Below are 13,392 nucleotides of genomic sequence, written 5' to 3'. Positions count from 1 at the left end.
TTATTAATTTCATTCTTAAGTGCTAAAACTTAGTTTACAATTTTGAGATATTTTTTAATTTTCCAGGGTACTTTGAATATAGTCTTGGCCCTGTAGAGGCTTATTTAAAACCACAAGCTTTTTACAAATACATGGATTCTCATTTAGAAAGAGCAGTTTATACTTTTGTTCCTTTTTAAGCTAAAAACACGTTCTAGTTAGGCTTCTTGCCATTTTTGGACTTATTCTAATATTTCTATTAGATCATTAGTTTCCTGTGGGTAGGTACATTGTCTCATTACATTACCCTCTGTAGTACTAAGCAGTATTTCTTACTATCTAACAGTATCAACAAAATGTCGAATGGAATTCACTATTTCACCCAAAACATCTGTTGCTTTGATGCATAGAAGAAAAGGGTCTATGATCTTTTCTAAATTGCATTTATCTAATCCAAACAAAACAAACAATTTAGTCAGTTGCACGTATATTCTGATTCTATATATAAAGTACATTGTTAATAAACAATTTAAATCACTTTGGCATATTGTGCCATCTAATACTTAGGAAATACATATGTGACAAAGCCCTACTGACACCATCACAAGCTATAGACTGCATTTTGATGCTATTGCCTGGGATGAATGTTCCATAGTACATATATTTTAATCATTCAATAATTTAGATCAATTTATTTATTATGTAAATAAAGTTTATTCTCATATTTAAATAAATCCTTGAATACAGATTCTGAAAGATCAAAAGAAAATTAAGATCTAACTTTGTAAGTGGGATTGTAAGTTTCAGAATTTCTTTTCTGATCACAGGTACACAAGTCAAAAGAAACCAATTTCTATTTTCTTGCAGAGGATAATTGAAATTCATTACTTGCTGAAAAGAACAAGCCGCAGCTCAATGAGACCTCTCCATAACAGGCAACCAAATAAAAATCAGTGGGTACAATTAAGATCATTGAAATTTCAAGAGAACTGTGTGTATCTTTAAACAAACAAATCAATAAATGGTGCTTATTTTGTGAACTTGAGTCGGTTCTAACTGAGTTGAAATGATCTAAAGTACCAGTTGCCTAACTGTATGTTTTAAACCATTTTATTTCTCTAGTTCAAACTGAGCTACGGATCTATATAAAACTTTGCAATATTTTCATAACAAAAGCTCAGTATTATGACATATTAACTAGTGAACTTTCAAGAATATCAGTCAAGTTTACATGAAAGCTTATACTAGAAGCCCCACAAAAACAGAAGCTACTCTATGACCATTGTAATAACAAAGCCTCAAGTATGCTTGCACTTTAAAGATTTTACTCTGCAACAACAACCAATTTGTCTATAAATGACTTACATTCTCGAAATACCGATACTACAGTAAGCCTCTAACATCTAGTACAATAATAGGCTACACTAGGCCTTTGAAAGCACAGCATAAATTAAGCTGAGAGTGCTTCTGACTTTTACCAATGTTTGGTTTTATTGTTAATAATTACATTTGGCATTTAATCACATGTTTTGTTAGATGTGCCTGTTACAGGGGATATTTATATATTCAAATACCATTTTAAACATTAAAAATCATGTATGTGACAAAAAAGATTCAGGTATAAAGTGTTCTTTTCAAAAACTTCCATTTTGAAATTAAAGAATAAGACATCTGTTTAGCAACATTATAAGGCAGATATATTTATAAATGAGGAAGAGTTAACCTTTTGTAACTTTAGATAAAAGTCTCTTCTTAACTTCATATTGATTTTCTATAGAGTAAAAGAAAATAGAAGTTTAAAGAAAGAAGCCTATTAAGTGGCTTCCAGTAATATTGAAATTGAAACAACTTTAAAATCCTTTATAAAGACATTTGGATTAAAGTCTTGAAATGGTTAGACTGTTAACAACATCAGTAAAATAACATATAAATATAAAGTCAAAGAAGAAAATGTCTATTATTAAGTATTTATAAATTCAAATATATAAATTAATCTGGAATAATTACTTAAATTATACATTCCTTATTGTAAAATATATCTTATCTGTGTAATGTACTAGTATCCTTAAAATTTATATTTTAAAAACTTTGATCATATAAACAACAGAGAGAAGCATATAATAAATAATCATATACTTGTAATCTAGTATAGATTGTACAGATTAACAATTTGTCTTATTTATTCATCTTTTTTCTATAATAATTTAAAATATGTTACAGATAACATGATATTTCAGTGTGCAATTCAAAAAAGAATATTACCTACAATATAATTTTCAAAACCAAAAAAGTTACAAATAGTCCTTTAATGTTATATATAATCCATACTTAAATTTCCTCAATTTTCCTAAAATGTCCTTTACAGATGGTTTGTTTTAGCTGGGATCTAATCAAGGACCATGAATTCAATTTATTGTAATTTTACTTACATCAATTTTAATTTATAACAATTGTCTCCTTTTCCCTACCTCAAATACTGCAAAGACCAAGCAAGTTGTCATTTAGAGTATTCCAATTTCTGGATTTGTTAGACTGTTTCCTCATGCTGTCAGTTAGCAAGTTCTCCTCTTTAGTTCTACATATAGTATTTAGAAGTAGAAGACTAATCAAATTCAGAGGAAGCATTTATGAAAAGTCCAGTTTATAGGGTGTAGTGAAACCAGAAAATGATTACTTAGAGGAGGAGGAATAGCGAATTGGGGGCTGTGATGGAAGATTCTGTGGTGCCGATAATAGGAGTTTTTTTTTTGACGCCCCCCACAACACTCAGATGTTAATACATAGAAGTATTCACTTTGTGAACATTAATCAAAATGGGAGCTTTTAATTTTAAAAAATGTATTTCTAAAATATCTTTTTTTAGAAAAAAAAAGAATACCATATAGTGTTGTGCTTTTATTGCATCATATCATGATATGCATAATGCCTGATTATCTCAATGGCATTACTAAGAATTATCAGACTACATTCAACAATCATTTATTGTACATTTAAAAATACCTAAAACATGTTCCTTGTTTTTAACATGAAGGGAGGTTGAATTTTATGAAAAGCTTTTTCTGCATCTACTGAGAAAATCATGTGGTTTTTGTTTTCAGTTCTATTTATATAATGAATCAAATTTATTATTTGTTTCATGTGTTTCTTGGCTCTTTGTAGGTCTTGTTTTGAGAAGTGTCTGTTCATGTCTTTTGCCCACTTTTTAATGAGATTATTTGCTTTTTTTTTTTCTTGTTGGGTTGCTTGAGTTTCTTGTAGATTTTGAATATAAGTCCTTTGTCAGATGCATAGTTTGCAAATATTTTCTGCCATTCTGTAGATTGTTTACTCTGTTGATTATTTCTTTTTCTGTGAGGAAGCGCTTTAGTTTTGTTAAGTCCCATTGATCTATTTTTGTTACATTTGCTTTTGAGGTCTTAGTCATAAATTATTTGCCTAGGCCAATATGCTAAGTTTTTTCCCTAGAAAAATCTTCTAGATTTTTTATAGTTTAAAGTGTTACATTTCAGGATTATAATTTTAAAAATTTAATATACTTCTAAAAATATATTTTAGTAATTAGAAATCTGATCTTCTTTTGATTCTTGTATCTTAACAGTTGTTATTCTTCCTGGACTCATTTAGAATTTTAACTTTATCTTTGGAGCTCAGAAATTTCACTGATTCCAATGAGCATCTTTTTTTTTTTTTTTTTTTTTTTTTGAGACTGAATCTCACTGTCACCCAGGTTGGAGTGCAGTGGCATGATCTCAGCTCACTGCAACCTCCGCCTCCCAGGTTCAAGTGATTCTCCTGCCTCAGCCTCCCGAGTAGCTGGGATTACAGGCGCCTGCCACCACGCCTCACTAATTTTTTGCATTTTTAGTAGAGACAAGGTTTCACCGTGTTAGCCAGGGTGGTTTCGATCTCCTGACCTGGTGGTCCACCCACCTCTGCCTACCAAAGTGCTAGGATTACAGGCATGAGCCACCACACCCAGCCAAGCATGTTTTTCATATTGCTATTATTATTTTTATTCAGTATTTGACTAGTCTTTTCAATCTAAATACTCATGTATTTAATTATTTTCTTTCTTCATTTTTTTTATTTTTACTCATTGAAATTCCTATCTAGCTTATGTTCTGCTTTCTGAATTTATCCTCCAGCTTTTAAGATTTTTGCGATTTTTTTCTGATACTTCAGAGTTCTTAAAAACGGTGATCTGGCCGGGTGTGGTGGCTCACGCCTGTAATCCCAACACTTTGGGAGGCCGCGGCGGGCAGATCACAAGGTCAGGAGATCAAGACCATCCCGGCTAACATGGTGAAACCTGGTCTCTACTAAAAATACAAAAACCAGCCAGGCATGACGGCAGGCACCTGTAGTCCCAGCTACTCAGGAGGCTGAGGCAGGAGAATCGCTTGAGCCAGGGATTCAGAGATTGCAGTGAGCCGAGATCTCGCCACTGCACTCCAGCCTGGAGACAGAGCAAGACTCTGTCTTAAAAGAAAAAAAAAAGTGTGACCTGGGAATTTTATCAAGTTTATCTTTCAGTTACCTACTTTGTTTTTGAGTTATTATTTAACACTTTCACCAACATTTAAAAATTCACATTCATTTATTCAAAAATATTCATATTTGAATACATAAGGGCTGTATTGGGTGTAATTATACAGAATTTATAAAGCAGATTTGTATCCATGCCCTCATGGAGCTTACAGGAATATAAATAAAATACTTCATGCTGTGACAATTGTGATGCCCATTCTGATTGCTCGTCTGAGAACAAGGAGCTTTACTATGATGCAGATGTGCAGCTGCACAGTGATGAAACTATTATGTATTAAAAATACCAAGTACCTGTGTCAAGGTGAAAAATGCTCACAAAACAATAGGCATTAGCGTGCATGTGCTTGCTAATTGATAAAACTCGGCTGTGTCTTATATGTGGCACATTTTTCTGAGATACTCAGCAAAGTTGTAATTAATTACTGATAAGGAAAATAAGAAAAACATAGCTAGAATCCCCAGTTCTATTCTACCTGCTTGTATCCTTTCCTTTCAAATAAACCACATTTCTCAGTGATCTTTGGAAGTGTGATAATATCATACAATATTAACTTTACAGATAGGGAAAACAGTATGAGTAGAATAAAAAAGGAAATGAACTGAAACAGAGAAGTCAAGGATGAAGATAATGTGTGTAATAGGGAGCGGTAGAAAAAGTAATTAAAAAGGGGAGGGAGTTCTAGAATTTCACTTATGTTGATATTATTACCTGCTTCCCCCACCTGCATGCCTTCAACTGCAGGAGTAAGGAGATACTTCAAAGTTTAAGTACAACTGCTATGATTGTTTTTTTTTTTCTTGACTTCTATTCCCCATTGGCATAAGGGATAAAGAGGATCTAGGATTCCAAATGCTATACACTATAATGAAGCACACTACAGTAGAAAGACTCGGTTTACAATAAATTATAGATCATGATTGTTGTCACTTAAGCCAACTTTTGTGATGCTTTCAATGGTTCTCACCTGCTCATAATCATGCCTTTGTGTAATCTTCCCTTTACTCCCTTTTCCCTCTTTCTGCCATCAATACACACAGCCTCTTCAATGCAATCTGCTTTAAGGACCTGAGGACTGTTTGCATGGCATCCTAAATTAATTCCTGATTATATCAGTCTTCATCAAAAATATAAATCTCACAAGTCACCCTCATCCATTATCAGATATTTGATTCCAAAACCCTTTCATTGTGCACTTTGGAACTTATATTTTTAGAAAAATCTAGATCTTCAATTGTTTCTGTGAATTTTCACTTCTTTATGAGACCTAATTCTTCCCTGAGGATAAGGCTCCCATTGCAGCCCTCTTAATCAGTGGCTATTTCCTTTTTTACATACCTTGTTGTATTGGGCCTGGAAGTACTGCAAGTGCACTTAATTTACATTGTTTCCACCACTATTCTCTTTAAAAACCCTAGGTTTGAAGCTCAGGCCATTAGATTATGTCACTCACTATACTTCCTTGTTGCAGTCATCTACAGATATCTGGTTCATTTCTCTTATTCCATCTACATTGTGGATCCTGATTTAGTCTATTATTCTGTCATAATTCCTGATACATTTGCAATAATTATATAGTTAATTTTCCCAATATTCTTCCTCCCAATACTTTGACCTCATGGTATTTCAACCAATTACACTCATTGTGATACTACAGCATTTGCTGTAATGCTGTAATAATATGCTGTAATGCTGTAATGTAGTAATAATAACTGATCCCCTCCCCACCCCTGGAAACTCAATTTCATGCTTTCCACTTTTTATCTCCCAACTTGCCAGCTTACATTCTCATTCTTGACCATTCTGATTCGACATTTCTTCTACCTTACATTTGCCTCTTTCTTTAACCTCTTGGCGTCATAATTAATTACCTCACAGTTTTTCTCTCCTCAAACTTTCACATCTTTTTATTTTTTTAACTAACTTCTTCCCATCAATCCACAAATCTGTTTAATTTCCCCTCATGAAAAAACACTCATGTTTACCTTACATCACCCTTCACCCTGTACCCTATCTATGTTTCACTGTTTAGTTTTTGGTGACAACACTGCTCAATAGTTGCCTACACCTTTTCTTTCCACCCACACAAGTCCACCGATTATATATTCGGGATCACCAATAACTTAGCTTTATTCTCAGCCCTCATCTAATTTGACCTATGAGCAGCAGCATTTAACCTAGACTATCCTTTGAACCTCCTCGATCACTTTTGTTCTCTAAGATAACATTCATTCGGTTTTCCTCCTGCTTGCTGGCCACTCCCTTTAAGGCCCCATTGTGGCCCCCCTTGTCTGACTGAGCCTAAATATTAGAGTGGCCAGGGGCAGTCCATGGACTTCATCCCTATTCTGGTTACTCCTAGTTTCTTGTTGGACTCACAAGTTCATTGGTTTTAAAATCATCTATAAATCCATAATTCCTATATTTTTATTTCCCGTCTCTAGTCTACTCAAAACACACCAACCTCAGTGGTTCTTTTAAAAGTAAGTCATATCATGTCACTTTTTTCTCAAAATTTGTAAATGATTTCCCACCATTTCATCCAAGGCCAATAGGCCTAATAATACCCTGTAATATCCTGTTGGATCTGGCCTGCCCATTACTTCTCTGACAACATCACTGACAAGTGCCTTTGTATTCACTCTGCTGCAGAACCATGGCCTTTTCTTGTTTCTTATTTACCAAGCAGGTTGTCGCTTCAGGATCGCTGCACTTGTTGTTCCCTTTGCCTGGAATGGCCTTTCCTCAGATGTTTCAAGATTTATTCTTCACCTCCTCAAATCTTCTGCTGAGAACTTAACCTCTCAATGAAGCTTTTTCTAAATACTATTTACAAAAAAAGAATCCCAACATACAACACTGTACTAATCCCTATCGATTTTTATACTGCTTTTTCTCCAGAGTAAATTTCACCCTTTATATGTATATGTATATTTTTGTTTTGTACATTTTTTTGCTCCACCCACTAAAATATTAATTCCCTGAGGTTGAGGGCCTTATTTATTTACATATATATCAGCAGTGCTTACATAAATATCTGGCACATAGTATGTGCATGAAAAATATTCCCTGAAATTAATTCATGAATAAAGGAAAATTGAATAAAACCATACAAATTTCCACTTTTGAGAGAAAGCAATTTTGACTTTATTTAGTAGCCAATTGGGAAATCTCATAGATTTTTCAAAATATTGACATATTAGAGCACTGCTTTAGAAAAGATTAATCAAGATGGAATGAGAGGTGGAGGGGCTGGAGAAATAGGAAGCAGGCGGAAAATTTTGCAATAGTGCTAAGTATAAATAAATAGATTGTTAATATAGTAATATATACAGGCAGAAAGGTGCTTAGATACTATTTTAAAATTGTTACTGAGACTTTGGGGGACTATGCTAATATATGGGTCTTAATGGATTTTTTTAAATTGTGTTCTATTTTTGAGGTCAAAATTCAGAGCAAATGCTTCCTGAAATTTTTGTGGAGATTATTATCTTTCTAAATCCCATATGGTTCAGGAGTTTCAAAGCATTTGATAAAAGTATCTACGGATTAGCTTCTTAACAGATCTGCCAACATAGCACAAAATCTCTGATTTCTACCAGCCTGTGCCCTGCTCAAACTAGCTCTAGCTGACCCTTTTTCTTCCTTTCACCTTTATGACCTCCATTTTAATTAGGTTTTCAGCCCTGACAACAGACATCTGGTTCTCAGTCTACCCATTAATCTGAGGACTGCACTCTTTAAACCGAAGAAGTCTAAAGCTCGTCAAAGGGCAACATTTAGATGAGCCAACAGAAAATCTTTTAGTAAATAAGGACTAGAGGGATCTTATTTAAAAAGATAATAGAGCTATCAATTTTCTCAATCATTAATGTACTTTTCCACAAAAATCCAAATACAAGATACATTATACTGATAAACCAAATGTATCTTTTAATATATTCTGTTTTTATTCTTTTATTGAATTTTTTTATTGAACTCTATGTGCCTCTAGGTTCTGAATATTTAACATTTGGGATATAAAACTTATGCTCTTACTGGATGTCTAATAAATTTGAGTAAAACTGAAATTAAAAGAATGCTTATTTTATCTTATAATATTAGCCATAAATAATATTTAAAAGCTTCATTCCCTTTGTTCCCATATCCAGTCAAGTTATCCCTAAGGCAGAATTTTTCAGAAAGACAGTGGACAAAAATAAAGAAACAAATAGCAATGGGCATTTGTTTTCTATCATGACTTGGGCCTTAAGAAAATATATATAATGCTGTTTCACTGAAAAATTTGTAACACAATAAAATTTCTCTAATAGCCCAATTTGCCCATTCTACAGCCACTTTTTTATTCAGGCTATGATCTTTACTCTATTGGAAAAATGCCATAGTCCATTGCTACCCTATAGCTTTCCTGTGTAGTAAAACCTTCAATGTATGTTAAACTAAAAATTCTAAAATACGATCATATGATTATATCATTTTCTAGCTTAAAAATCTCTCAGTGGCTCTCTGATATGGTTCTAAGAATATGAAAACTCTTTTGTGAAGTACCTGAGTTTCATTCCCAGCCATGTCAGTAAATGCATGGTGAAACCTCTTTGAAAATTTCAAAACGGACCATATACTGTTTTACACTAACCCACATACTGTTCTCTCTTACTGGAATGCTCATCTTTTTCTAACTTAATTCTTACCGTCTTTAAAACAAAGTTTAATGATCAGCTCATTAAGAAAGCTTTCCCTGACCCTTAAGACTAGTGTAGGTTTGTTCCACTGTGCTTTGTCAGGTTCCGGGGAAGACCTCCCTCACATCACCTTTCTTATTCTACTCTGTTAAAAATGTTGGCTACTGTTTCTTTCCCTCAAGTGTGGCTGTTACTTTGTTTCCAGATCCTAGCACAATAACTGACCTATAGTAACCACTGAATGTGTTTTTTGAGCAATTAAGGGCAGTGTGTTTGTTGATTGAATAAATAAATTAAAATTATTGATGGCCGGGAGCGGTGGCTCACGCCTGTAATCCCAGCATTTTCGGAGGCCGAGGCGGGCGGATCACGAGGTCAGGAGATCGAGACCATCCTGGCTAACACAGCGAAACCCCGTCTCTACTAAAAATACAAAAAATTAGCTGGGCGTGGTGAAGGGCGCCTGTAATCCCAGCTACTCAGGAGGCTTTGGCAGGAGAATGGCATGAACCTGGGAGGCGGAGCTTGCAGTGAGCCGGGATCGCGCCACTCCACTCCAGCCTGGGCAACAGAGCGAGACTCAGTCTCAAAAAAAAAAAAAAAAAAAAAAAAAAGATTGATGAAAAGTTGTGACAAAAATACAATTAACTTGATAATATTAGGATGCTTTAAAAATAGTGTCTGGCACATTTTTTTAATTGTTTTTCCATGAATAAATACTTAATACATTTTTGTTAGATGTATTCCTAGATATTTTGCATTTTGATATGTATATTTTTCGCTTTAAAAGTATTATTTTATTTATATTTATGTCTAATAAAAATGGCTGTATTACCATGTTTACATACATATTGGTTTTGGAGACAGTTTGCTAATGAATCACGCTTAAATTTTATAGGGAACTTGAAAATATTAAAGCATTGGTTATAGATAGTGGAATGACCTATAATTTGCTGTAATTTGCATTTTAGAGAAAGAGCAGCACCCTTTGAAAGTAATCAAATTAATTAATAATACTCATCCATACTGCAAAATAATACAATCAGCCTCTGTACCTGAGTGTTCCATATCTGCAGATTCAACCAACCACAAATCAAAAATATTTTGTAAAACCCCAACACAACAATAAAAATAACAAATCCAAAGAACAACACAGCATAACAACTACTTATATAACATTTACATTGTATTAGGTATTGTAAGTAATCTAGAGATGATCTAAAGTAAACAGGAGATTGCACAAAGATTACACGCAAACACTACGCCATTTTTTACAAGAGACATGAGCATCTGTGGATTTTGGTGTCTGTAGGGGTTTTGGAACCAATTCCGTGAGGATACTGAAGGATGATTGTATGTATATGTATATACACACAGAAGTTAGCAATTGTATTGATTTTATTGCTAAGCCATTTGTCTGTCTGACATTCAATACAAAGAGATAAAATATAATCTGACAAATCTTAAGTACTCAATAAATCTTAGTTCATGCATTTGTTCATTGAGTCAATAAATTAGGTATCTATTATGTGTGAAGCGCTGTTGTAAGTGCTGAGAATAGAGTTGCGAGTAATAGCACAGACAACAATTTCTCAAAAAAATCTTAAATTTTAATGAGGATACCAAAAAAAGCAAAAGAAATAAGCAAACAATAAGTAGTTTGTTCTATGATGACAAATGCAAAGGATCAAGATGAAGCAGACAGTGGGTTATGGAATTGCTCCCTGAAACGAGTACCAGTTTTGAAAATAATTTTCAAAATTGGTTATAGATAGTGGAATGAGCTATACATATGGTTGACATATAGTAACCACTGAATGTGTTTGTTGAATAATTAAGGGCAGTGTGTTTGTTGACTGAAGACATAAATAATTATTGATAAAAAGTTAAATGACAAAAATTAATTTGATAATATGATGCTTTAAAAATAATGTTTTGATTATTTTTAAAATATGGTCAGTGGAGAAGACATTTGAGCAAAACTGAGTTGAGCAACATTTGAGTTGAAGGTATCCCTTCAGATACCTGGAAGGAACAATTCATCTAGAATAAATAGTAATGGCAAGGCCGTGAATATGGGACACTGTGCACAAAAGCAGAATAATGCAGCATTGTGGAATGAAGTGAGCATGGTGGTTGTTGCAGGAGGTAAATTCAGAGAGAAGAGTGAGGGAGGAGGAGACCCAATCATGTAGGAACTTTTGGACCATTGTAAGATTTTTGGCTCTTACTTTTAAAAAGATAGGGAACATTGAAGCAGAGAAGCAACACGACTTTTATTTTATAAGACTCACTCTGCTTACTTGAGTGGAAATATTATTGCTAGCACTTGTGTCAATAGGAATATTTACTGTATTAGGGAAGCTATTATCTTATTACAAAGGATAACGTCAGTTGTTTTTATCTTTTCATGGAAAGGTTTCTTTGGAATTTTCCACACTTTATTGGCTGCGCTTTCTGACTTTCCTTTGCTGCTCATGTTTTTCTCAACCTCCACATAGTGGGATGGGCCAGGGCTTACATTTTATTCCCTCTTCTGGTCCTCTTCTTGCCTCTATCTACACCAGTAATTCTCAACTAGGGGGGTGATTTTTTCCACCAGGAGATATTTCAAAATGTCTGGAAATGTTTTGATTGTCACACTGGAGGGGAAAAGGTGCTACTGGAATTTGCTGGGTAGAGGTGAGGGATGTGCTGAACATCCTACAATTCAGATGGCCCCTCATGACAGTGTTATCTGGCTCAAAATGTCAGTAATGCTGAGATCGAGAAACCCTGGTTTTACACATATTTCATTGACGTTTATATCCTGACCCACAAACTTAAATCCCATCAATACCCTAGTGATTTCCTCATTTCTGTCCTCAACTGCAACTTTCCCCTGTGTCCTAGGCACATATAATTTATTGCCAAATAAGCAAGCCTAACAGACATCCCAAGCTTACCACATCTAAAACATGATTTCAGATAATTTTCCTCAGATAAACTGATTCTAGTCTAGCTTCCTCATCTCAGTAAATGGCACCATCATCTGTCCAACTGCTTAAACCTTAAACCTAGGAGTCTTCCCTGACTTATTTCCCGTTATACTCCACATCCAAAACATTGGTAAGTAAGTCCTATAGGTTCTCCCTTTAAAATATATTCTGAATCTGCTCAATTCTTACTACCACCACCACCACCTCAAACCTAATCTAAGTGCCTTCATGTCCTAGGACTAAGGCAAAAACTTCCTAATTGTAATTTGACTTCTATTCTTCTCCCACAATAGTCAATACCTTCCCCACCTGCCCCCGACACCCCACAGTAACCAGGGAGATGCTTTCAAAGTATAAACCAGGTCATGTCCTTCACCTGCTCAAGCCCCCCTGTGGCTCCCCATCTCTCTCAGCACAGACCAATGCTTTACCACCATCTATAAGGCCTTACCTGTTCTGACCCCTCCTCATCTAGGACCTAATCTGACATATTATGTCTGGCTCACTGCCACCTAGCCACAACTTGTTTTCCTGTTATTTCCTCATAATACCAAACTCAGAGCATCTTCAGGACACTTTTACTTGCTGCTTTCTCAGACAGGAGGCCTCTTTCCTCAGACTGTCTAAACATGTCACTCTCACTTTATCCAAGTCTCTCCTCAAATGTCAGGCTAAGTGTTCTCTGAGTCCCTTTTCTAAAATAGAAATCTCCCACCTCTACACCATATGACTTTTTATTTCCTTACCGTGACTCATTTCTCCCCTTAGAATCTATGACTTTCTCAAATCTTATTATATATTTTCTGTTTGTTTCCAAAATCCTCAATTAGAATATTGGCTTCGAGAAGCCAGGGATCATCTCTCTTGAAAATATTCTAAAAACCTACAACAATCAGATTTTAGCAAATTATGGTACTTTATGAATATTTGTCAAAGGAATAAATTAATAAATATGCATTGCCTCTAATAATTCTGGCTTGTAAAAACAAGCATTCTATGGATGTCTTAATTAAATTGTTACTTCTTTTTAATCATCCATAATTTGTATCTAGTGTTTTTGTCTGACTAAATATAAATCATAGTAATTTCTTTATAGTTTTAATCACTTGTAAAAGATCAAATTGAAAATTATAATTTATTCAAGATAAGTCATCTTTCATCTCTCTCTCATGAGACAGGTAGGAGATAAGTTCCATAGAGGATATTA

The 13,392-nt window shown here is 34.3% G+C and overlaps 1 annotated feature.

The window, feature by feature from the left end:
* Nucleotides 1,029-1,530: an enhancer, noted in NCBI's record as "NANOG hESC enhancer chr1:187763697-187764198 (GRCh37/hg19 assembly coordinates)". NCBI's record gives its function as "activates a minimal SCP1, AML or CMV promoter by ChIP-STARR-seq in primed H9 embryonic stem cells {active_cell/tissue: H9 hESC(primed)}" and the evidence as "EXISTENCE:reporter gene assay evidence [ECO:0000049][PMID:30033119]".

Source organism: Homo sapiens, chromosome 1 (assembly GCF_000001405.40).
Source record: "Homo sapiens chromosome 1, GRCh38.p14 Primary Assembly".
In the NCBI taxonomy this organism is placed as follows: domain Eukaryota; kingdom Metazoa; phylum Chordata; class Mammalia; order Primates; family Hominidae; genus Homo; species Homo sapiens.
The sequence above is the reverse complement of the archived record's forward strand: the minus strand, read 5'-3'. Positions and strand labels throughout refer to the sequence as shown.